Source organism: Homo sapiens, chromosome 4, assembly GCF_000001405.40.
Source record: "Homo sapiens chromosome 4, GRCh38.p14 Primary Assembly".
Lineage (NCBI taxonomy): Eukaryota > Metazoa > Chordata > Mammalia > Primates > Hominidae > Homo > Homo sapiens.
In genome coordinates, this window is record NC_000004.12 from 168,128,303 (window position 1) to 168,155,974 (window position 27,672).

Below are 27,672 nucleotides of genomic sequence, written 5' to 3' on the forward strand. Positions count from 1 at the left end.
GCAAAGAAGTAGAATGAGAAGAAAAATAATATAAAAAGACAATAATGATGAACAAATTTGCCTTTAGAAATTGCTAGTCTAATCTTAAAATGTTTGCCTTAAATCCATAAGTGCCTCATCACTAACTACTAAATGAAATCTCCACTAAAACACCTTAATCCAGGATAGAGCATTCTTTTTAACCTTTGCTTCTGTTTTCTAGCTTGTTTCATTTGCTATTTGCTATTTCCACTTCCAGTCAATCAAACTTTTTGCTATTCCCCCAAATGACTCTGCTTTTCACATCTCTGTAAATTGGCCCAATCACTTCTCTGCCTGGAATGTTATTTTCTTCTCTTGTCTACTTTTCATCTAAATTCTCTTCTTCAAGAATCTGTTCAGATGAGCCTTCCTCTCTGAATCCTTCTTTGGGCACTGCAAGCTCAATCAGCTATGCCAACCCCCCAGGCACCTTACTTCCTACCTCTCACTCCCCTAATCTCATTTGCACTGTGCTTATGTTTGTCTCACCTGCTGACTGGACTGTGAACTCCCAGAGCTTGGAGTTTGACATAGAGGTGATTCATAATGAATGATACTAAAGTTTAGAAAAAGTATATAGAGAGAGAAGAAGGGAGGACAATTTTGGGATTCTTTTACAAAAAAAAATATTATATATATAATTTTTAAGATATCATATGGAGGTATTAAACTTTCATATAGTTTCCTACAATAAAACCTGTTTTAAGAAGACTCTTGATGAGCATAAAGACAAACATAGACAACATAAAAGAAATCTTTGCATAAGGCATGCAAAAACTTTCATAAGAAAGCAAGCTCTTAACTTTAAAGACAAGGTCGCCTTTACAGGAGCTTGACTGTGTGTGTGTATGCATGAATGCACATCTGTGTGTTTTATTCACTAGCAGTATCCCATAGGAAAACAATAGAGGACTTAAAATATGCTCGCTAAAGCTGACTTTAGGAGTTTGCAATGCTTTCATGCCTTTTAAAATATCAGTCATCACTAGAACAATAAAAAGACAAGTTAACACAAAGTTATGAATTAACTTTTTATTGAGGAGTGCAATTTTTGCTTTAAAACTATGGGTCACAGCAATCTGTTCACCAAAAAGTTTTTCTTTGCTCCAGTTTCAATGTTCCTGTCATTGCAATTTTAGGGTCAGAATAAGGATTCATTTTGACCATCATAATTTGTTGCTTATCAGTGTATTAGGCTGAAGTACGTCAGGAGGTTTTGGGCTTTGATTGCACGGTGTCCACTGTAGCATGCCAGAGCATGAACACAGCTCAAATTGCTTTAAAGTTCTATCCATCTCCATGACTCTGGCGAAGTGTTATTGAAAAAGACAATAACTAATGTTTTTCTTAGCTACTGTGTTTTATTTAGAAAAATCTGAAAGCAAAAACGTATTCTGAAACAAATGAAAGTGAGTAGCTCTGATAGAAATTGCTTTAAGTTGTATAAAAATTTACTCATCATCTATAAAAAGAAACACTTATTAGTTAACATTCCCTAATAGTACAGTCTACTTTCCAATTTATCACCACTTGAAGATACTTTCCTGCCCATGCATTCTTATAACCATTTTTATTTTGTATCTATTAACATGTGTAATTGCTAGGTCAGCCCTGTGAGATCCTGGACAACCGAAGTCATTTTTAACCTACATTCCTAAATCTTGACAAAGGAGAACACAAGTCAAAATTAATCTTTTTTGAAATGCTCAGTGCTATTCAGAGTGGACAATCTCAGCTTGTTCCTGATCTTTCTGATCATTAAGTATGATGCTAGCTATAGGATTTTTGAAAACGTTCATTATGAAGTTAAGGAAGTTCCCCTCTATTCTTAGTTTGCTAACAGTTTTTAACTTGAATAGGTATTGGATTTTGTCAAGTGATTTTTCTTCATCTGTTGATATAATCACATGATTTTTCTCCTTTTTCCTGTTGATGCAATGGATGACATAACTGATTTTTAAATGGTGAAACTGCCTTGCATATCTGGAATAAATCCCACTTAATCATGAAATATAATGCCTTGTATGCATTATTATATCTGACTTTCAAACTTTTTGAGGATTTTTGCATCTATCTATGCTCATGAGAAATGTTGGTCAGTAATTTTCTTTTCTTGTTGTGCCTTTCTCTGGTTTTGGTATTAGGGTAAGGCTGACCTAGTAGAAAGAGTTATGAAGCATTCTCTATGCTTCTAATTTCTGAAGGAGATTGTAGAAAATTGATATTTCTTTCTTAAAAGTTTGGTAGAATTCATAAGTGAAGCCATATGGACCTAGTGCTTTCTATTTTGTGGGTTATTAATTACCACCGACTTAAGTTTTTGATAGATATGGGCCCATTCAGATTGTCTATGAGTTTGGGTAGGTTGTGTCTTTGAAGAAATTGATCCATTTCATCTAGACTATCAAATTTGTGGTCTTAGAGTTATTAATAATATTTTATTATGATTTTAATGTCCATTGAGATTGGTAGTAATGGCTCCTGTTTCGTTTCTGATATTCGTAAGTTTTATCTCTCTCTCTCTCTGTCTCTGTCTCTCTCTCCCTCTCTTGCTTTCTCTCTCTTTCCTTAACCTAGCTAAAGCCCTATAAATTTTATTGATGTTTCCCCCAAAAAAAACCAGCTTTTGGTGCCATGGATGTTTTCTCTTGATTTTCCAATTTCAAATTCATTGATTATTGCTCTAATCTTTCTTTTCTTCTATTTATGTTAGGTTTAATTTGCTCTTCTTTTTCCAGTTTCCTAAGATGCAAGCTTAGATTCTTGATTTCAGATTTCTTTTTGTTTCTCTATATGCATTTTTCTCTAAGCATTGCTTTTGCTCATCTCATAAATTTTGAGTCATATTTTTACTTTCAATTTGTTTGAAATTTTTAAAAATTCTCTTGTCACTTCTTCTTAGTCTCATGTGTATTTAGAAGTGTGCTGTTTAATCTGTGTGTATTTGGGGATTTTTCCAGCCATCTTTCTGTTACTGATTTCTAGTTTAATTTCATTGCAGCCTCAGAGCATATTTTGTATGTTTTTTATTATTTTAAATTGTTAAGATGTGTTTTGTGGTCAAGAATGTGGTCTATTTTGGTTAATGCTCCATGTAACTTGAGAAGAATGTGTATTCTGCTTTTGTGGCAATAAGCATTCTATAGATGTTAATTAAATCCAGTTGATTGATGGTGCTGTTCATTTCAATGATACCCTCACTGGTTTTCTGTCTGCTGGATTTTTAAATTACTTATAGAGTAATTGACAAATTACTCTAGAGGTGTTAAATTGCCCAGTTATAACAGTGGATTCTTCTATTTCTCTTTGCAATTCTATTATTTTTTTCCTCATCTCTTTTGGCACTCTGTTGTTTGGCACATACATATTAAGGTTTGTTATATCTTCTTGGAGAACTGACCCCTTTAACATTTTGTAATAACCCTTTTATTCCTGATAATTTTCTTTGCTTTGAAGTATTCTTTGTCTAAAATTAACATAGCTACTCCAACTTTCTTTTGATTGCATTTGCATGGTATATAATTCTTCATTCTTTACTTTTAATCTCTCTGTGTCTTTAATGTTGATTTCTTGTAGACCACTTAGTGCTATTAAGAAATAATTTTACTCACCTCAGTTAAAATGAGTTTTATCCAAAAGACAGACAATAACAAATGTTGGCAAGAATGTGGAGAAAAGAGTACCCTTGTACATTGTTTCTGGGAATGTACGTTAGTACCACCACTATGTGGAACAGTTTAAAGGTTCCTCAAAAAAATTAAAAAGTGAGTTATACCATGTGATCCAGAAAATCCACTGCTGGGTATATACCTAAAAGAAAGGAAATCAATATATCAAAGACACATCTGCATTCTTGTGTTTGTTCCAGCACTATTTACAATAGCTAAGATTTGGAAGCAACCTGTGCATCAACAGATGAATGGATAAGGAAAATATAATACAAATACTCAACAGAGTACAATTCGACCATAAAAAAGAATGAGATCCTGTCATTTGCAACAACATGGATGAAAGTGGAGATCATATGTTAAGTGAAATAAGCCAGGCACAGAAAGACAAACATTGCATGTTCTCACTTATTTACGAGATCTAAAAATCAAAACAATTTAACACATGGACATAAAAAAGTAGAAGGATGATTACCAGAGGTTGTGAAGGGTAGCGGAGGGCTGCTGGGGACTCGAGGATGGTTCATGGGTACAAAAAATAGTTGGAAAGAATGAATAAAACATACTATTTGATAGCACAACAGGGTGACTATAGTCAATAATAACTGTGTATTTTAAAATATCTAAAACTGTGTAATTGGATTGTTTGCAACTCAATGGATAAATGCTTAAGGGGATGGATAACCCATTCTTCATGATGTGCTTATTTCATATTGCATGCCTATATAAAAACATCTTGTGTACCCCATAAATATATATACCTATTATGTAACCACAAAAATTAAAAGTAAAAAATTAAGGAATAATTTTAAATTTTAGTAATAATTATGTTCTTGCCTAGGAGGCCACTTTTACCTATTTGACCATACAGTCGATTCTCATTATTCACAAATGCTATATTTACAAATTTATCTACTCACTAAAATTGTTTTATAACCCCCAAATCAATATGCACAGATATTTCGTGGTCATTTGCAGACATGTGCAGAGAGGTGAAAAATTTTAGTCACTAGAATGCATATTGCTGGTTGAAATCAAACAAGGTGACCTCTGCCGTCTTCTTTTAGCTTTCATGCTGTAAATAAGTCCTTTATGCAATCTATGTAGTGACACAATTTTGCATTTTTATGCTTTGCTTGGTGATTGTGCTGTTTAAAATGGCCCCAAGCATAGTGCTGAAGTACTGCCTAGTGTGTTCCTACGCACAAAAAGAAGTATTCAAGAAAAAAATATGTGTGTCACATAAACTAAATTCAAGAATTAGTTATAGTACTGTTGACCATGAGTTTAATGTTAATGAATTAATAAAATAATACATCCATAAAAAATAATAGAAAATGTATTGATCTCTGCACGATGCTGTTTGGAAAATGCTGAAGTAACATCTATTCTATGTTATGAAGTATGGAAAAGATGAAAAAATGGCTGAATTTTTGGGTTCTTGAGACTATAACTGATAACAAAATTAATAATTTTAAAAAATAATCAAGGCAGTCAGCTTTCTTTTGAAAGCAGTGTTGGGTGGCAGGTTAGAAAAATTCTGTAGATCAGGAGGCTACAGAAGAGCTTTAAAAATATCTCTTAAATGTTTATACAGGAGAAGGCTATCTGGAAGTATAGTTTTCAATGCTAACAAGACTGGCTTGTTTCATAAGGACATTGGCAAACAAACATAATGCAAATGACATTTCAGTTGACAAAAAATATTGTAACCACAGGGTTACAGAAACCTAACCCTGCATTTTCCCTAGGAACAATAGTTCAGTATTTACTAATTCAGTGTTCATGGCAAATTTGTAGAATATAAATACCACATACAATGAGTCACTTGTACAAAATAAAATTTGATAAAATTATGATGGTTCATTATGCCCAAATTTTCCATTAAAATCAGAAAAAGATAAATTATTTAGAAATCCCTGACCTAAAGCACTAGGAGAAGAAGGAGAAAAACTTATAATGATTACAAAGAAGAAATCAAAGTTGTGATTATATGAAGAAGAGGTTATATATCTAGAAATTCAAGTTTAATAAAAAGTTACTTAATATTATAAGAGAGTTCAGTAACTTCTCAGGATACAAAGTAAACACAAAAATCAGTATCACTTCTTCAATTAAGCAATTATGTGTTAGGAAATAAAACAAAAATAACATAACTGGGAATATCAATAGAAGTGCAAATATAAGTAACTTTAGCAAAATAAACCTTCTTGTCATTAGCAAAAAGCTCCACAAATCTTTACTAAGTCTTTTAGAGAAGAAAAATCCTTAAATAATAGGTTGGCAGAAATATCATGTAAGTGACAGAAAGACAACACTTACAAAATTGATTCCTAAATTTACAGTTATTTTAATTTAAAAATTGTAATACAATTATTGAGATTCATATAAAATATCTCTGGAAGAATAAATAAACAAGAATTGCTATGAAAACTTAATAGAGCAATTCAGAGCGCTAGATTGTGGATAATCTCAACAGAACAAGAACAAAAAGTAAGACTATAATAATTTCATAAATGTGATAATAGTAAGAATAAGACAAAGAAAGTAATTTTAAAATCTTCTATTTATTATCAAATATATGTTCACTTTAGAATGTCCATCATGCCATTAACAGATTCCTCTACTGGTTTTGTTTTGTTTTGTTTTTTGTTTCTGCCTTTTAGTTCAGGGTCTTAACCAGGCTTGAGCCAGACATCATCTTTCTCTATGCCTTTTCAGTGGAGTCTGCCTTTTCTCTCAGTAGCCATTAATTTCTATCTTTGAAGCCAATTCTAGGCCTTCCTCCCTCCCTGTTACAGCTTTCAGACCATTTGTGCATAAAATACCCTGATGCTCCCCCTGCTTTTCAGTGATACAGTCATCTATGTTAATTCTTAACACTTGTTCTCATTTGCTGGATATTTCAGCACCTTATTCATAGCCTTCCTGTGATCCTAAGCCCATCCAGGAGGGACTTAATTTCAAAAAAGATGATTTGCTTAACATTCTAGCTTTTCAATTCATTTTTCTCCTTATCTCCATTATATATCTTCCCTTGTTGAAGAAAAATTATACCAGATGGAATTAAACAGCAAGGAAGATTCTGCAGTAGGGATCAAGACTATTGCAAGAAGGGAGAGAGAGTGAACTCAAATCCTATGAAACAAAGGCAAGAGAGTTTTTAAGCAGTATGGTGAGATAGTAGGAAAGAACTAAAGGATGTTGGGCAGGGAGGGCATTGGTCAATGTGATTAGGCTATCTGTGATTGCTAATTGGCACTTAACAAAGTCAGGTTCCTGTCCTCACACAGACACTGGGAAATAGGAAATACAGTTTCTATCTTCCCAATGATGACATTTCAAAAGGATGGCTCCCATATCCCTGAGAAAGACAATTTTGGGTTGTCAAACTGCAAGAGGCTGGGAGGAGACTTACATCTCTAAGAGGCAGAGAAAGAATTTAAAATTGCATGTTTTCTAAAATAAATGCTCTAATAAAAGGGAGGTTAGGAGCCTGTAGTTGGGAAGAAACTTATCTAAATTTTAGTCAAGCTAAGGGAAAAGTTAATGTCATATTGCTGACTCTACTATGACTGCAAAATTCATCTAAACTAGTTGTGCACTAAACCAATCTATTAGCTTGGTGTGTTGGCACATGAGGAAGTGAAGGATACACAGACCAGAAACAGTCTATATTAGGGAGGAGATAGACAGGGTGATAGGTGTTCCATGAAAAGCATGACAGGTTCACTCTATCCCTCAGAAGCACACAGATGCCTTGTACTTTCATGATTTCCTTCTCTATTACTCCTCCCTCCTTAATATATGTTCATTATAAGCCATATCTCTCTATTCAACAAGAAAGACACAATATTAGTCAATTCTCACACTACTATAAAGAACTACCTGAGACTACATAATTTATAAAGAAAAGACATTTAATTGGCTCATGGCTTTGCAGGCTGTACAGGAAGCATGGCTGGGGAGACCTCAGGAAACTTACAATCATGGCAGAAGGCAAAGGGGAAGCAGGCACATCCTACATGGCCTTCCTACAAGGAGGAAGAGAGGAAAAGGAATTGCGACACACTTTTAAACAACCAGATCTCATGAGAACTCACTCACTATCAGAAGACCAGCAAGGGGGAAATCTGCCCCCATGATCCAGTCACCTCCCACCAGGCCCCTCCTCCAACACTGGGGATTAGAATTCTACATGAGCTTTGCAAAGAGACACAAATCCAAACCATATGATTCTGCCCCTGTCCCCCCACAAATCTCATGTTCTTCTCACATTGCAAAATATAATTACTGATTCTCAACAGTCTCCTAAGCCTTAACTCATTTCAGCATTAACTCAAGAGTCCACAGTCCAAAGTCTCATGTGAGACAAGGCAAGTCCTTTCTGCCTATGAGCCTGTAAAATCAAAAACAAGTTAGTTACTTCCAATGTACAATTGGGGTACAGGTATTGGCTAAATACTCTCTTTCCAAAGGGGAAAAATCAGCCAAAACAAAGGGACTAGAGGCCCTATGCAAGCCTGAAACTTAACAGGGCAGTCATTGAATCTTAAAGTTCCCAAATAATATCCTTCGACTCCATGTCTCATATCCAGGCCACACTGATGCAAGAGGTGGGCTCCCAAGGCCTCAGGAAGCTCCGCCCCCATGGCTCTGCAGAGCTCAGTCCCCACGGCTACTCTCAAGGGCTGGTGTTGACTCCCTGTGCTTTTCCAGGTGCATGGTGCAAGATGTCAGTTCATCTACCATTCTAGGATCTGAAGGATGGTGGCCCCCTTCTCAAAGCTCCACTAGGCAGTGTCCCAGTGTGGGGGCTCCAACCCCACATTTTTCCCCCACACTGCCTTAGTAGAGGTTCCTCATGAAGGCTCTGCTTCTGCAGCAGATGTCTGCTTGGACATCCATGTGTTTCCATACATCCTTTAAAATCTAGGCAAAGGCTCCAAAACCTCAACTCTTGCTGTCCATGCACTCACAGACTTAACACCATGTGGAAGCCTTGGCAATTTTCAGCTTGCACCCTCTGGAGCAGCAGCCTGGGATATATCTGGGGTCCTTTTAGCCAAGGCTGGAGCTGGAGCAGCTGGGATGCAGAGAGCAGTGTCCCACAGTTGTGCAGGGTAGCCAGGCAGGGATCTAAATCCAAATATCAGATGTTGCTCCCATTTAAACACTAATCAGCTTAAAGGTCAAGGAGCCATTTTTTTAGTGGAGTAAGAGCTGATTGAAGAGACATTATATTTTCTTCACTCCCCTGTACTTTTGATTGGATTTTTATTTTCCTTTCAATATTTTTTTACAAATTTAAGGGGTACGAGTGCAGATTTGTTGCATGCATATATTGCATACTTGTGGAGTCTGTGCTTTTAGTGTACCCATCACCTGAATAGTGAACATCATACCCAATAGGTAATTTTTTAACCCTTGCCCCTCTTCCACCCTCTCACTGTTTGGAGTCTCTAATATCTATTATCCTACTCAATATGTCCATGTGTACCCTTCGTTTAGCTCCCACCCATCAGTGAGAACATATGGTACTTGACATTTTCTGAGTTATTTCACTTAGGATAATGGCCTCTGATTCTATCTATGTTGCTGCAAAAGACAAGATTTCATTCTTTTTTATAGCTGAGTAGTATTCCATGGTTCCATGGTGTGTATATGCCACATTTTCTTTATCCAATCATCTGTTGATAGACACTTAGGTTGATTACATATCTTGGCTATTATGAATGGTAATGCAATAAACATATAGATGCAAATATCTTTTTTATATAATGATTACTTTCCCTTTGAGTATGTACACACAGTAGTGAAATTTCTGAGTCAAATGATAGTTCTATTTTTAGTTCTTTGAGAAATCTTCATACTGTTTCCCACAAAGATCATACTAATTTACATTTCCACCAACAGTCTTTAAGCATTCCTTTTTTTGCACATCCTCTCCAACATCTGTTATTTTAACTTTTTTTTTTTTTTTTTCTTGAGATGGAGTCTTACTCTGTTGCCCAGGCTGGAGTGCAGTGGCGTGATCTCGGCACACTGCAACTTCCACCTCCCAGGTTCAAGCAATTCTCCTGCCTCAGCCTACTGAGTAGCTGGGACTACAGGCGCCCGCCACCACACCCGGCTAATTTTTTGTACTTTTAGTAGAGATGGGGTTTCACCATGTTAGCCAGGATGGTCTCAACCTCCTGACCTCATGATCCACCCACCTCGACCCCCCAAAGTGCTGGGATTACAGGCATGAGCCATCGTGCCTGGCCATTAACTTTTTAATAATAGTCATTCTGACTGACGTAAGATGGTATCTCATTGTGGTTTTAACTTGCATTTATCTGCTGATTCATGATGTTAAGCATTTTTCATATGTTTGGTGGCTGCTTGTATGTCTTCTTTTGGAAAAAAAAAAGTCTGTTCATATCCTTTGCCCACTTTTTAATGGAGTTATTTGTTTTCTCTTGTTCTTATTGCAGTAGCATGCTGTTTTGATTACTATAGCCTTGTAGTATAGTGTGAAATCAGGTAATGTGATGACTTTGGCTTTGTTCTCTTTGTGTAAGATTGCGTTGGCTATTCAGGCCCTTTTTTGGCTCCATATGAACTTTAGGATTGTTTGTCATAATTCTAGGAAAAATGACACTGATAAGCTGATAGTGATTGCATTGAACCTGTAAATTGCTTTGGATAGTATGATAATTTTAGTGATATTTATTCTTCCAATTCATGAGCATGAAATAATTTTCCATTTGTTTGTGCTATCTATGATTTCTTTCAAGTGTTTTGTAGTTACCCTTACAGAGATCTTTCACTTCCTTGGTTAAATGTATTCCTAGATATTTTATTTATTTATTGTAACTATTATAAATGGAATTGAGTTCTTGATTTGGTTCTCAGCTTGATTGTTTTTGGTGTATAGAAATGCTGCTGATTTTCATACGTTGCTTTTGTATCCTGAAACTTTACTGAAGTCATTTATCAAATCTAGGAGTCTTTTAGAGGAGTCTTTATAGTTTTCTATAAGATGGTAAGATCATATCATCAGCAAACTGAGATAGTTTGGCTTCCTCTTTTCCAATTTGGGTGTTTTTTATTTTTTTCTCTTGCCTGATTGCTCCAGCTAGGGCTCCTAGTACTATGTTGAATGGGAGTGGAGAAAGGAAATATCTTTGTATTGTTTCTGTTCTCAGGGGGAAAGTTTTCCCTGTTCAGTATGATGTTGGTTGTGAGTTTGTCATATATGGCTTTTATTATTTTGAGGAATGTTCCTTCAATGCCTAGTTTAAAGTAATGGCACTAAATTAGGAGATAGGAAGGATCCAGGCTTCATCAAGCATCATTACATGATTTCCAATTTTAGTTAAAATTGTTCCCTGCTGTAAAATACCATCAGGGATAATGCGTGCATACTGGTTATGATCGTTAGATAAAGGATTCTTCCCAACTACAAAGTAGCAACTTTACTAATCTTCAAATATTATTCTTTTCCAGACTGTGACAAAGACATGCTGATCAACATTCTGACTCAGCGCTGCAATGCACAAAGGATGATGATTGCAGAGGCATACCAGAGCATGTATGGCCGGGTAAGGCCACTTTATCTTGACCTATTTCTAGGGCAATCTCTTGAGAACTAACCACACTCACGGATAATAGGTATTTTTTTTTTCAATCTCACAGATTGCAAATATCTCAGACATCATTATATGTCAGATACAGTTCATATTCCTCTTACATGTTTCAAGGAATAAAATCTATATTATGAAACAAATATACATGTGAGATATGTTCACACTCACAGTGACCAGTGACCACAAGTTCTTTCCCCAAAATCATTCAGTGTCCCCAAATGAAAAGTTTTGATGAACTTACATTGCCAGTGGGTCCAATTAGGCTTAAAGTGTTGTGCTGGAAACACCCCTGTGGCGAGCTTTAGGGAAGGCACATAAAAAATTAATGATCACCAGTTCAAAATATAACAGCTTTTCCTACAGTTCCTTGCAGGTCCTCACCTAACTCTCAACCAAAGTGAATTCTCTACCAGCTTTTCCTTTCACCAGCATGCAGCTATAGAGACCATTAAAAAAGAATGGCAGTTTAAAAATAGTTTAAGGCAATAAAACTATCCATAGTGTTTTAAAGTAATCATACTCTAATTTCAAAGCAAGTACCATTAAAGATTCCTTGCTTTTGCTATGCATTTAAACCACAAATTCAGAACAAAAACTCTTCAGGCCAAAAGTGCCTGAAACAACAATTACTTCATCAGCTGAGCTTTATCAATGAAACATTATCATAAAACTTTCTCAGTAGAGTTAATCCATGTAAATTTACTCCACCTCTAAACCCCAGTCTTTGAACAACTATAGTAGATGAAATAAAAGATATCCCTCAGCTTTAGATTGAATTAATAATCCAAAAGCTACTATCAGTAGTGACCTTAGTTGAAGTAAGCCAAAGTAGAAGACCAGTGATATCTTCTTTTCCACATAAACTGTTACCTCAGCCTATGTTCCACCTACACCAGTACTAGTTTTCTTTTGAAAGAGAATATAAAAACTATAAAAGTTGTATCACTGGTAATCTAACATTGTTTTAATATGCATAGTGCTATAAGAAATGTCTTTTTTTTTTTTTCTTTGAGATGGAGTTTCGCTCCTGTTGTCCAAGCTGGAGTGCAATGGCGTGATCTCATCTCACTGCAACCTCCGCCTCCTGGGTTCAAGTGATGCCCCTGCCTCAGCCTCCTGAGTAGCTGGGATTACAGCTGTGCGTCACCACGCCCAGCTAATTTTTTGTATTTTTAGTAGAAACGGGGTTTCACCATGTTAGCCAGGCTGGTCTCGACCTCCTGACCTCAGGTGGTCTGCCCACCTCGGCCTCCCAAAGTGTTGGGATTACAGGCGTGAGCCACTGTGCCCAGAGAAGAAATGCCATTTTTAAGTAACTTTTTTTTAACCCAAAGGTTTACATACATTTTTGCTTTTTACAAATCAGGTTAAATTTAGACTGAAAACATTACTTTATCAAGCTCTACAAAACTATGCTAAAGCAGATTAAAACAATTTTAAAATGAAGTACTTACACTCAAGGAATTTAAAATCTACTAAAGAATTTATACTCCACTGAAGAACTTTTCACTGTACATATAAAGTCTCAGAGTTTGTTAAACCCTCAGTTTTGCTGAATAATTCATACCTCCTGGAAAACCTTGGCTGATACACTAAATTGCACTGCCTGGAAAACTGGAAGTCATGTTTGCCTCTTTCCTCTGAAATACCCTTGTCATTTATAATCAATTAGCAAGTTCTGTAAATTATTTCTCTTCACACATTTCTCTCTTTAAACTGACTTACACAGTCTTGATTTAGATCTTCATCATTTTGTGCCCAGACTAATGCTGAAATTCCTAAATGGTCCTGTCTACCCCTAGTCCCTTCCCACTCCAGTCTATCCCCAAACCGTAGCCAGAATGACTCAAAATCTAAATTTTCACACATCACTTTGCCACTTTAATCCTTGAGTGTTTATCTTGTTTCTCCCTACAAACATCCGTGTTTCCATGCGCTACTAAAAAGTATGGGGAATCCTCGGTCCTTGATCATCTTGGGAGTAAGATAATGGCCAAGTGACAATTCAAAGACAGCAGAAATCTTTACTTGAAGGGAAAGAGGGAGCAGAGAGTTTATTTAAAGAGACAGGACATTCTGAAAGATGAGGCAGAGCAGGCTGCTGAAAGAGAATGGGCCAACAGAGAGTCCTGGGTTGGGTTTTTATAACATTGGATTTTTCTTCACGTTCCCTGCTCTGTCTCAAGTCTCTGCCTTTTTTCATTATCTAGTTTTTCTGCTTCTGCCGTAAGCCCTTGCCTTTTCCCTGCCTAGTTTCCACCCCAGGTTTGTGGGGCCCTCCCTTACTATTAGTCAGTGCGCATGCGTGGGCCAGGGGTTGGATACGAATTCTATCTAATGGCTGCACTGCTCATTACCACCACCCCAGTAAGGTCGTACAGCAGTCAAATTGGTACTTGTGCCTATATATCTCTTAGGAATTTCTCCTTTTTCCTTTTCCTTTCTTTCTGCTCACAGTTGACTAATTGTCCACCCGCTACAGCATTAGGGATTCTATTAATATGTAAGCGGTGGGTGGTCCCTTGGGCCTAAGACTTCCCAAGCTTTTCCTTTCTCAAGGGCTCCCCTTGAGTAACCCGCTCATGTCTAGCCATCTGCCTACACATATTCCTACACATGGAATAAACCTAATGCCTTCCCAGGGCACACGAAGCCTTGCTTGCTTTGTTCCTGCTCTCCGTCTTCATCCCTCTCCCCTTCCCTAACACAATTTTCACCTGCAGTCAAATAGAACTGCTATACTTGTAGTTCTTCAAATTAACCATGGCTGCCCCTCACCACCAGTCATGTTGTTTTATCTATCTTCAATAACCTGATTTCAATACCACAGGCTGGACACCTATCATCCTTCCAGGTACTAGACACAAGACCTCACAGCCCCCCACCAGATCGAGTGGAACAGACTTGGGCTGCTAATACATCCTTTTTGTAATTTCCTCACAGTAACTAATGACACATCTGAGAGCTTGTTTGTATCTGTTTCACTCTACCACAGTCTAAAGCTTTGAAAGCTGGGATGATTCTTGTTCATCCTAGAGCTTACCATAAATGTCTGTCTAGCATACCAAGATTGCTTAATTAATGTTTATTGAATGACATTGTAAAGGTGCATCTAACTACAACTCCTCCAATAAGACACAGGCAGGCTTTGACTGCTCCTGTAAACTTTCCCAGCCTGTCATGCTCACCCTCTACTCTGTGTTTCCTGCTTGGTTCCAAGAGATCCTTGTGCATAATGCTACTGGGTTGTGCTGGTTCACTTTTACATCTTGCCAATAACACTGTAATCTCCTGGAAAAGCAGGGATTGTAATATTTGCTGCTATCCCTCCAGAGCCCAGCCCAGGTCTGGCATAGAAGAGGCATTTCATTTACAGAATCAGTGAATCTAAGGCATTATATTCTGCCTATTTACTTTTTTTTAAAGAAAAGGAAAAGCATCCTTTCATTATCCACTCTGTAGTTAAAATGAATCTACACCAATTGCCTAGATTTCTTTTCTCTCATTCCTTGCCCTGGCTGCTACCAGGTTAATTTCTCCGACCATCAGTAAGGTCTTCTTGACATCTACCACCGCTCACATTTAGGACTACTTCTTCCACCTGGCCAAGGTGTATCTCCTGCTACTTTTCCCTTTCTGTGGTAAGAATGTATACATTAACCCCTATGTTAATCAATGGTATTTTAAATTTTCATTAACAAGAATAATCAAGAGTTGACAGAATCATTTTCTTAGCTGCTGAGTGAAGTACAATTCTCAGCAGGCTCCATGAACACTTCTTACTTGACATTTTACATTCGTGCAGAGTGGCTGAATTTCATCAGCTTTGCCTTACCTATTGCAGAAACTAATCCCTAGACTCAACTGAAAATCCACTTGGAATTCCGCTGATTGACATATTTATCAAAGTAATTCATGAGGTCACTTCTGATCTTCCCCACCAAAGCAAGTGCTAGTTAAAAACAATGCAGTGACACCAAGGGAACAATGAAATGCCCTTGTGAATGGGGAGAAGAATAAACAGACAATGATTCTTGGAGAAGTTCAAATTCAGCATTGATGCAATTAATTTTCTCATTTTTCATCTAAAACAGGGACTATCCGGTCTAAAATATGCTGGTTTCTGTCATTCATTTAACCCACATGGTTGGTTAAGCAATTTAGTGCCGGGGCTGACTTGCCCAAAAGTAAAACTTCAACCAAGGTCATCTGACTATTAAATTGTCTCTTCCACAGCTTCTCAGTAATGCCCACTGTTCTCAATGGAGCAAACACTCAGGCTTACAAGGGCAGACATCTATACTGCCAAATCCCTCACATCTTTCAAGGTTTTGCTTAAGTGTCAAATACTCAAGAGGGCCTAATCTAAAGCTGTCACTCACCCCAAGCCCTATGCTAGAGCTCCAGATACCCCTCACCTGACCCACAGGAGGAAGTCCAGGGCAAGCCTATCATCTAACAGTCTTGGCCAGTGAGTTAAGGCAATCCTGAATGCCTTCTAAGGCCAAAATGGTGTAATTAAGTGTCCTCTCTCCAGGTGCCAAGATTGTTGTTCTTTTTTTTTTCCTTTTCTTTCTTTGAGACAAAGTCTCGCTCTGTCACCCAGGCTGGAGTGCACTGCCGCGCTCTCAGCTCACTGCAACCTCCACCTCCCAGGTTCAAGCAATTCTCCTGCAACAGCCTCCCAAGTAGCTGAGATTACAGGACCGTGCAACCACGCCCAGCTAATTTTTGTATTTTTAGTAGAGATAGGGATTTGCCATGTTGGCCAGGCTGGTCTCACACTCCTGACCTCAGGTGATCCACCTACCTTGGCCTCCCAAAGTGCTGGGATTACAGGCATGAGCCACTGCGCCCAGTTGTTGTTCTTACTTACCACTAGAAAATTGACCTGTTCCATTCCAGTAGATATAACTTCAGTTTTTTTCTATCATTTCCAACTGATACCTAGAACTTTAATATGGAATGGTCAGGTGCAAGAGGGACAAAGCCATTTGTATACAATTTCCGGAAAGCTATTATGTCCCACACATAGTGTACCACACATAGTGTACCCACAACAATGATCCTTAACCTTATGATCTGGGATGATGAGATTCCAGAGAGAATCCAAGTGACTGAACCAGAATTGAGTTTGAATTCCTATGTCCACTTTTGATTAGGCTGCTACCCAGAGAATAGACCAACTAGGACACCCTGAGGTTGGTATTGTAATCGCCCAGTGGTTTCTCCTTGCCCTGTGACAAGACAGAGCTGGTTTATCAAGACAGGGGAATATAGAGTTTAATTCACACAGAGTCAGCTGTACAGGAGACAGGAGTTCTATTATCACTCAAATCAGTCTCTCCAAAAACTTGGGGATTGGGATTTTTAAGGATAATTTAGTGGGTAGGGGGTCAGAAAGTGTGGAGTGCTGATTGGCTGGTACAGAAATGAAATCATAGGGAGTCAAAGCTGTCCTCCTCCACTGAGTCAGTTGCTGGGTGGGGGCCGCAAGACCAGATGAGCCAGCTTATCAACCTGGGTGTTGCCAGCTAATCCACTGAGCACGGGGTCTGCAAAATATCTCAAGCACTGACCCTAGGTTTTATAATACTGATGTAGTATTGCTTCCCGGCCTTTTGGATAAGATCAAGTGTATAACACTGATGTTTTCCTGAGGAACAATTTAGGGAGGTTCAGAATGTCACAGCCTCCAGCTGCAAGACTGCTAACCCATAATTTCTAATCTTGTAGCTAATTTGTTAGTCTTGCAAAGGCAGCCAAGGGGATTTGTTTTAGAAAAGGGCTGTTACCATCTTTGTTTCAAAGTTAAATTATAACCTAAGTTCCTCCCAAAGCTAGTTCGGCGTATGACCAGGAATGAACAAGTACATCTTGGAGGTTAGAAGCAAGATGGAGTCAGTTAGCCAGCTCTCTTTCACTGGAATTGCCTCGGTTGTAAGTTTTGCAAAGTTTTGCTAACACCCTACCCACTAAATTATCCTTTCAGTATTAAGAGAAAGAAAGAAGCATCATGCTTAGAAAAGGTCAGAGTGAAATCCCAAATTTTACAAATAGGTTTATATGACCCTTTTCCTCCATCATGGTCATTTTCCAAGAAATTGAAAGGAGGTTAATATTTTCCAGGAACCGCTGAATTCAGGGACCAAACTTCCCTACTAAGCTAAGTAGGCCAGATGAAGGTCAAGAAGATAGAGTCAGAAGTCTTACTGAGCTGATCAATTTGCAGCAATACCAGAAGCCTAGGGATGGTGGAGATCATCAAATACCTTGACTCTTAGTCTATTGTTGAGTGGCTTTTTTTTTTTCTTTGAGACAGAGTCTTGCTGTGTCACCCAGGCTGGAGTGCAGTGGCATGATCTTGGCTTACTGCAAACTCTACCTCCCAGGTTCAAGCAGCCTCCTGAGTAGCTGGGATTACAGGTGCATGCCACCACGCCCAGCTAATTTTTGTATTCTCAGTAGGGACGGGGTTTCACCATGTTGGCCAGGCTGGTCGTGAACTCCTGACCTCAGATGATCCACCCGCCTTGGCCTCTCAAAGTGCTGGGATTGCAGGCATGAGCCACCATGCCTGGCCTTGAGTGGCATTTTTAATAAAACTGCATGATGGTCAGATTTCAAGTAGTCTAGAAAGCCAAAAACATGGCACAGATTATTTTCATGGGCCACAGTGATGTGGCGGAAGTCAGCTGATTGACCTGAAACAGCAATATTGTAACTTGAAAAAGTGTTATCATTTGTGAGGACCTACAGAACTCTATGAGGTAATCAAAGTCTGATGCAATCCATCTGCCAGAACTACAGGGGCAATATCCTATGAATTGTGATTTCCTTTGCCAGGAAAAACGCAAGTCAACCTTTGACAAAAGTGACAAGATTGGCAAGCGGTGGTAACCTTGGCGTCAGAAACATAGAATGCTTTACCATATGCCCAGCTTTTGAGGGTATATGTGTTGTGATGTCCAGTCTGATGATGAATACAGGTAGCAATTGTGTGATCTGAGCAACGCAGGCTGGATCAGCACCTGGATTCCAGTTGGTCTCATCAGAGAATCAGCCCTTACTGTGGACAGCTGCAAGAAGGACACAAAAGTTATCAGAACCTGCATTTTTCCCCCCACAGACTACAGAAGGAAACTTCTGTTTAATATGCAGTTTGTGTTTTTCCAAGAGTTAACCCAAAGAGAAGGCTAACAGCCCAAGAGTGAATAAAAACATTGAGTTTATCAAAGGGAACACTGTTCAGAGCTATAATAGCCTTGATTTCTGCCCATGGGGCAATAATCATTCTTTTTTTGTTCTGCACAGGTGTTTCTGAGTTGAGTAGCCACAGCATCCCAGTGGACACTATCTGGTTTCAGCTTATCTGAATCGCCAGTGAACCAGGCCATGGCATTTAGGGCAACAGATTGAGGTCCCCATTGAATCAGCAGCTTGCTGATTTCCCCAAAAGTTTCCCCCAGTGGAATAGCTACCATTTTTTTCATGTAAATGCAAGACACTGCAGGGTCCAGGCCTACTGGATTCTTTGATGTACCACTTCTATTTGACAGGTGAGACTGGCTGGTTTCTTCCACCTTGCCATTCATTGAGTCCCAGTTGATTTACCCTAATATGGGAATATCAGGCATCAGGGTCACAAGGCCTCCATGGATCAGGCATTCAGTTTATACAAGAGTCCAATAGCAGGCCAGTAGCTGCTTTTCAAAGGGGATATACCTGGAATTGTATCAGGAAGGCAGCAAGTTTAAAACATCAAGAGGCGCCTTTGAGAAGCTGCTTTCCCTTGCCAGAGGCTCCAATCAGCAAACCATCTATCATAGAAACTTATGCCTGAAAGTGATCATTAGGCTTATGGGGCTTCATAGGTAGTAGCACTTCTTACATATGCTGTTTTCCTGTGGAAAGCATCCCCTCCAGTATTTAGGAGCATTCACAGAAGAAACAAATAAACATGAATACCAAGTACGTTCAACAGTGGAAGTTATACTAGTCTAAAGGTCTCCAATCATAAGGTTTTTTGACTTTCCTTCTCCATTTCAAACCTTGTTCAAACCCATCCTTTGAATTCGGGTTTACTTTCACCGATGAGTCCAGGTAGAATGGTGACATGGACACCTGCATCCAACAGATTCACATATCCTTGAGTCCTCCTGCTCCACAAAGGCAAATGGGCATGGCCCTAGTCCACAATGGGAATAGGAAGATCTGTGTCCCACCCTCACTCACTTTTTTCCTGAAAGCAGTAGAAGTTGGGGTAGAGGGAAGGAAAAGTTCAGGGGACATGAGGGAGACAGAGGCTCTGCATTAGTCAGCATGACACGTTGATATCCTGTACAGTGGCTGTGCACACCTCAATCAAATGAATTTCCAATGGTTTTGGCCTACACAAAGTCCTCCATCAGGTGCAACTTCATCATTACTGACCCCATGTGTTTCAGCTTTGTGGGCCCTTGAGCCAGAGGTCAGAACCACAGTTATTTCTGTCACAGCCAAGGGGTTTGAGTCCTTTGAGTGAATTGGGTTTGACCCATATGTGACAATTTTTTTTTTTTTTTTGAGACGGAATCTTGCTGTGTTGCCTGGAGTGCAGTGGCATGATCTCAGCTCACTGCAACCTCTGTCTCCTGGGTTCAAGCAATTCTCTGCCTCAGCCTCCTGAGTAGCTGGGATTACAGGTGCCCACCACCACGCCCAGCTAATTTTTGTATTTTTAGTAGAGACGGGGTTTCACCATCTTGGCCAGGCTGGTCTTGAATTCCTGACCTTGTGATCCACCCGCCTTGGCCTCCCAAAGTGCTGGGATTACAGGCATGAGCCACCGTGCCTGGCCATGACAATTTTTTAAAATGAGTCAGTCTTTGAAATGGACTCTATCTTACTTGCTAACCTATGTTCACAATAACATCTCTTACCTCAAGTTTTTTCCTGTAATTGACATAGGAGCTGGGGAAATTTTCTAGGCACATATTATTATTGATCAATATTTTTATTCCACCTTGTTTTATACTCCCTCAAATTAGTCATTATTATGCCATTGTATAAGTTAGTGTTTCTTTAGTTTTATTTGTGATTCTTAATTTATTTGTACATTTTTCTTCTAATACCCAATTCTATGTTTCTGATTTCGATGTGATTTTTTTTCAAAAGGACATTCATTAGCAGTTCCTTTTTTTCTGGAAATAACAAATAAATGTTAAATTATTTCAATCTTTCCCTGAGAATATTTTTATTATTTCCTCATTGTTAGATATTAGTTTAGATAGCTATAGAATTCTGGGTGGAACTCTAGTTATTTTCCCCTACATCTTTGCAAATATAACTTCAGTTTTGTTTTTTGTTTTTTCTGGCCCTTATCGACACTTCTGAGAAAACTCTTCTGACATCAAGAGGTATTATTTTGTTTGTTTTGATCCTTTTTTCTATAGATTCTCTGTTATTCTCTGGATGCTTTTAAGATAGTTTTCTTTATTTTTGGTATTCTATAGTTTCACTGTGGTAGTCAACAGGCTTGTACATTTTTGTCTAAATAGCTGAGGATTCACGTATTCTGGAAGACTGGAAATAGTGTCTCTCCAGCATTGTCCACATTCTCTCCTACTGTAAATCCTTTTAGACCAAAGTCTGTCCGTCTCATTCACCCTTTCAAGTCTGTTAACTTTATGTTACCATATAAATACCATATATTTCTTGTCCACATATGTAGAATATTTTTGTCACTTTAAAATGTATTTTCCCAATGTGCTGATTTCATTTTCAGTTTTTTACTAGCTACTCTTTTTAGTTTTTAATTTCTAGAATTTTATTTGCTTTCTTTAAAAAGTCTGTTAACTTTTTTTCATAGTATTCCCTCAGATTGTTATTAATGATCTCAAATTCATGGGGTTTCAATTCTGATTGTTGCAGAGTCCACTATATCACCTAGGAGATGGGTCTTGTTTTTTGTTTCTTTAGGGAGAATCTTTTTCTGTTCTGGAGTGTCAGAGAATTTCTGAAGATTGGTTTTGCATTTGCTTCTTCTGTTCCATGAGAATCACTAGTTTGAGATCAGCTTTCATGATGATTTCTCTTCATGGAGGTCTCAGTTCATATGAGTTAAATAAATTTGAACTTCAAGCCTCAGGAAAGCACAGGTCTATTGTTTCAGATTATCAGGGAAAATGTTCTCCTACTCAAAGCCTAGGCAATGAGTGGTGAGCGTGAGCTTTCTGCCAATCTTTCAATGCTGAATAATATTTTTCTTCTAGTTCACGCTGCTACTGAGGATACAACCCTTTGAGGATAGCAACCTCATATGTGAGATTTCAGACTTGATTCCCTGTGTTACATTGCCCAGTAAATGTTCTCTTCTCCTCATACAGTGCCCGAAATTAGGCACTAAAGCCTAAACCAAATAGCTCTCAAAACCAGCCTCTACTTTCCCCAGTCACCTGCAGGATCGTCTCCAAGGTCAGCTCACTTGCTTATCTTCTGGTTTTCATTTTTTCCTGATTTTTACATCAAGCGGTTTCTCTTTCTTCTGAAATCATGTATACTGTTAAAAGTATTTCTGTTACTTTTTATCAGGTATTTGAAAGGGGAGAGTTTAGATTTAATATACCATGTGTGTCTAGAAGACCAAAGTATTATCATTATTATCAAACAAAAAACCCCAAATTTCATTGAAAATTAAATAATTATGTAAACTGCGAAAATATCTGTAAAATGAAGCTATTCGAAAGAATATTCTCTTACCACTGCAAAGTGACGAAGCAACTTGCACAAACATTTTTATAATACTGTCAGCTGAAGAATAACAAGGTTCATAAATTTGGAAAAGAAAGCTTTATGTTTTATAAAAGGTTGCAGCCTGCAGGGTGGCCATTCTGACAGGCTGGGAAGCATGGTCTCCTGCCGAAAACTGGAAACAGACACTTTGATAGCCAGAAGAATAAGACAGAAATTTATGCAGAACAGGGTGGCTGAATATACATATTCAATAAGCTATAGGAGTCATGAATATTTATGAAAGGAGAAACACGCACATGCGCAGTTAAGCTTCATACCTCTCCACAGGACCCACGTTCAAAACATGGTGGTGTTAGCATGTTGCGAGGGTGGAATTTTCAGCCCTCTGACACTGAAAGGTGACAGAAAACCCTCACTGCACATCCTCCATAGACTGGCCAGAACCACTAAGCGGTCAGTGGTCTCTAGCCAGGAAAGAATGCTGGCTGGTTGTTTTGTCTAAACCACAAAAAGGAGAGGCAGTGTAAGAGGGTTGGTTGATATCAGGGGTGGAGTAAGTCTTTCCAAAGGGCTGGTTTCTGGTTAACTCTTAGGAAAGAAAGGCAGTGAGCTAGGGAGGGGGTACCATAAGGTGTATTCTAAATTCCATCCCATCATTGCTAGGAACTCAGTTTTCAAGATTGCTCTGGGGCCCCCTTGGCCAGGAAGGGGTTCATCCAGTCAGTTGAGGGACTTAGGATTTCATTTTAATTTTTCAATATAATATAAAATGATGCAAGTATTTACATAGTGACCACTGGGGGAGGGAGATAGAATTAAGATAAATTCTAAATTTCACTTTATACAGCATGCATCATTGATATTTAAACAGCAAAGAACATTTTAAATAATAATAGAAAAAGCCATATAAGTGAAAAGCATATGAAACTATTCCCCTGAGCATATTCAGACAAGAAAGATGTTAGTCTTACTTCTATTTCTTGCCCCTGTTTATCCATAATAAGATAAAGGTAAGACGAATAAGAAATAAGAAAATGCCATTTTATTTTTAATTTAAATGGAGTGGTTAGAATAGCTGCAGCAAGGGTAGTCTGCAGTTTCATTGGCAACACAGAACAGCTCAATTTGCAAAGCAAGTACTCATTAGCTTAATGTAAGGCCAAGCTGTGATTCCAGCAGAGTCTGCTTTAGGGCAAGTCTTCGGAATACAGGAAAGCAGAGGCAGTCCAGCTGGGGAAAGTCACGCTGCAAAGGTTGCATTTGAAAAGTGGTGTATATATATATAAATCCTAGTGAGAATTTAATACTCTAATTAGAGAACCTATTTGAAGGCTCCACTTTGAACTTGTAATGTTCAGTTATTTAAACATGTTATTCGATATTTATCTTCCCAACTGAAAGTAACACCTCCTTCCAGTGTCCTGATAATAGCATGCTATTCCCATTACTATAGCACTTACCAAATTTTGTATTGTAATTTAATTGTAATTCCTGTATTTCTCTCCACTGAAGAAAACTGCTTGATGATAAGGACCTTCACTTATTTATGTTCAAATTGCCAAGAATGACTCCAAACAAATAATTGTTGAACTACAAGTAGTCCTCATTCACTCTTTCATTCACTCATTCATTTTGTACCTATATTGTAAGTGACGACTATGTAACAGGCACAGTTCTATGGGCTGGTGAAATAGCCGTGAAGAAAACAGACCAACAGCTCTGCATGATGGAGCTTACATTCTACCTATTCCACCTGGGTGGGAGAGATCATGCATAGAAGGCAATAAATGCTTTGGAAAAAAAGCAGAAGCCAGGTAAGAAATACAGGAAGTGTGGGGAGATGGGGTGTAATTTTAAACAGGATAAACAGGGCAGGCTTCACTAAGAAGGCAGAGGGGGTGGACCCTGTGAATACCTAGGGGAAGAACATTAAGGGCACAGTGAAGGGCAAAAGTAAAGGCCCTGACTCCCACAGATCTGCTATTCCAGGTTCAGAAAGAAGCCCGCTGTAGCCAGAGCAAGAGAAATCAGGAGCAAGGAGAATTGTAGGTGATGAAGTCAAAGTTACCAAGAAGATATTATGTATCTTGTTGACCATGTAAGGACTTTGTCATTTACATGGGAATAAAACACTGAGTGTTCATTTTCTTCTAAGATCAAGTGTATAAAATAATGGTATAGTTTATTTTGGAGTGTGGCTTGAGAGAAAACATTTTGAGCAGAGGAGTAACTAATTTGATTTTTATTTTCCCAGGATCACACTCTCAAGGTTGTTGAAGGAGATTGCAAGGTACAAGGACAGAAGGGAAACTCGCTTGGAGGCTATTATATATACATAATAAATAAGTAAATTACATATATATATATGTATCGCCTCCCAGCAATTCTATTTATATAAAATATATTTTATGTAAATAAAATATAACTCATAGGGCTTATTTAATATTTAATATATAAATAATATCTATATTATATATATAAACAATATATCTATTGTTTTTGAGACAAGGTCTCACAGTTAGTCACTAGGCTAGAGTGCCACGGGACAATCACAGCTCACTGCAGCCTCACCCTCACGGGCTCAGGTAATCCTCCCACCTCAGCCTCCAAGTAGCTAGGACTACAGGTGCATGCCACCACACTCAGCGAGTTTTTGGCATTTTTTGTGGAGACGGGGCTTCGCCATCCTGCCCAGTCTAGTCTTGAACTCCTGGACTCAAGCAATCTGGCGGCCTCAGCCTCCCAAAACACAGGCATGCACCACTGTGCCCAGCCAGAGGCTATTATATTAACAAAGGAGAGTGATGATGGTGGCCTGGGTAAAGATCGTAGCAGTAAAAGTAGTAACAGTTCATCAGTTTCTAGATAGATTTGTAAGTTGCAGACAATAGAATCCATTGACAATCGGATATAGCAGGGGTAACCAAGGAGAAAATACAGTCATGGGTTCTTAGTTTCTGTTTCTGGTTGGGCCAAGAAAGGGCCTTCCCCATCCCTCTTTTCTGCTTATCACTAGAGAGAGAAACTAAAAACCATGGCTTCAAGCTGCTAAAAGCCTAAAGCAAAAAAAAAAAAAAAAAAACAAAAACAAAAACAAAACAAAAAAAAAAACCAATAACAACAACAAAATAAGACAGGTTGGACAAGCTTGGGATATAGTAAAGGTTGCAAAAAATACGGGAAAACTGTGAGGTGAAGAGAGACAGACAAAGATGGGGGACGGTAGAGAAGGAAACAACCTAACTAATCATGTTTTATTTGCAACAAGTTACTTAAGGTTTTGTGGGGTTGGAAAGACATATATTGAATGCCTATAATATGCCATAAAATATTTTCAGAATTTTACCTGAGTTAAATCTTTTAACATTTATATCAACTCTGCGAGGCAGATGCTGTGATTATTTTCACTTTGCAGATTGTGAAACAGACACAAAGAAGTTAAGGAACATATTTAGAATCTCTTAGCTGGTATTTTGCACTGTGAGGATTCAAGCCTAAAAACCCTACCTCCAGAACCTGTACATTCGAACATTAGATGATATCTGATATTGTTTATTTTCCTGAAATTATATTATTTCTTTTTTTTTTACAAAATTAGTTCACTGTAACTATAGCTATGTATACACACACACACACACACACACGCACACACGCGCGCGCGCGTGCCTCTGAGTTGAAAACAAAGATACAAGCGCCATCTACTGGCACTACTAATCTCAGTCTACAATTCAGCATTAGTACAAAAATATCATATGTAAAGGGAAGAAATATGTTGTGATACATGTGTAGGGTGGGAGTAGTGATCAAATAAATGTGACTAAAGGTTAAATAACAAACTTTTGCAATGCTTGCATAGTCTTCAGCTTGAACATTGCCTTTTTTATCCTTTACCAAGTTTTTCTTTATCCACATTCATCCATTATTCTTTCATTTGCTTATACATTCATGTATGTATTATTTATAAGCTGTACTCCACATATTTTGTGCACTCAGTACTTTGCTAGAGCTAGATGCTGAATTTTGAAGAATTTGTGAGAAAGTCCATGTCCTGATAGACTTTTGGGGGAAATATGCACATATATTTATCATATAATGTGGTCACTGAAATATAATAAACGCAAAGATAAAGCAGTGGTGGCCAGGAAGTAATCAATTTCACTTAGGGATAGAAGAAGGCCCATGGAAGAGATGATCATTTTAATTTTTCTACCTTTCTATCAACTGTCAAGTGCCACTATCCTGTAGAGATAAAAGTATATTGAATTGATCCATTTGCATTCAAACCTTCAACGCATTGCCACAAGATTTATTTTAAAATGCCTAAAATGTGCCACAGGTACCACCTATTTGCTATGTTCATCACTTTGGTCGCATATAATTAGTGGCTTCCTATGGTGCTAGCTATGTCACCTTTGTGTGCCTGATTTTCTTATCTACATAGTGGAATGAATACAGTTCCTAACTCACAGGGTTGTTGTAATAAATTATTACAGTTATTCTAATATTCAGAATACCATCTGACAAATATTAAGTATTCAGTAAATGCTAGTTGTTATGATAATCATCACATTCTTCTGCCTGGCCTACTCAACTTTCCATTATTAGGGCCTCATGGTATACCCTTTGCACTACAAGGACATCCAAAGTCTCTTTTGAAATATTCAGATTTCAAATCAACCCAACATTTACTGAAGGCTAGCTGTATACTTCACAGGCACGTTTCACTCTACCCAGAACAGTACCTTCTCTGTCCTGAAACATTATTTATTGTTGGTATCTCCTAAGCCTTTGCCTGATCAAATCCCACTTTATCTTTCAAAGCTCACCTCACAACTACGCTTTCCACGAACCTTCATTTTATGAATAATATCTCTAATTTATACATTCGTACAATTCTGTAAGTTTCAAAGCCTTGCCCTTATATTGCCTCTCTTGTTGGCCCTTAGTAATATATATATTATATTATATGTATTACATTATATATAATATATTATATATTATATAATGTATTATATATTATATTGAATGTATTATATATTATATATTATATTATACATTATATTATATATAATTATATATAATTATGAATTATATATTTTATAATATATAATTATAAATTATATATTATATAATATATAATTATATATTATAAAATATATAATTATATAATATATAATTATATATTATAAAATATATAATTATATAATATATAATTATATATTATAAATATATATAATTATATAATATATAATTATATATTATAAATATATATAATTATATATAATTATACATTATATAGTATATTATATATAATTATATATTATAAAATATATAATATATTATAAATATATAATATTATATAATATAATATATGATATATCATATATTATATATTATATAATATATGATATATCATATATTATATATTATATATAATATATAATATATGATATATTATATATGATATATGATATATCATATATAATATAATATATCATATATGATATATCATATATTATATGTTATATATAATATATGATATATCATATATTATATTATATATCATATATTATATGTTATATATAATATATGATATATCATATATTATATTATAT

The 27,672-nt window shown here is 37.3% G+C and overlaps 1 protein-coding gene across 2 annotated transcripts in view; it reads left to right on the forward strand.

Annotated features, from left to right (window-relative positions):
* The window catches only part of ANXA10 (annexin A10), a 95,200-nt gene that overhangs the window by 35,766 nt on the left and 31,762 nt on the right, over positions 1 to 27,672 (forward strand). For both annotated transcript variants that reach the window (XM_011531571.3, NM_007193.5), the window contains exon 3: positions 11,184 to 11,278. In XM_011531571.3, the coding sequence (XP_011529873.1) occupies positions 11,184 to 11,278 (95 nt within the window). The remainder of the gene's footprint in view (positions 1 to 11,183; positions 11,279 to 27,672) is intronic.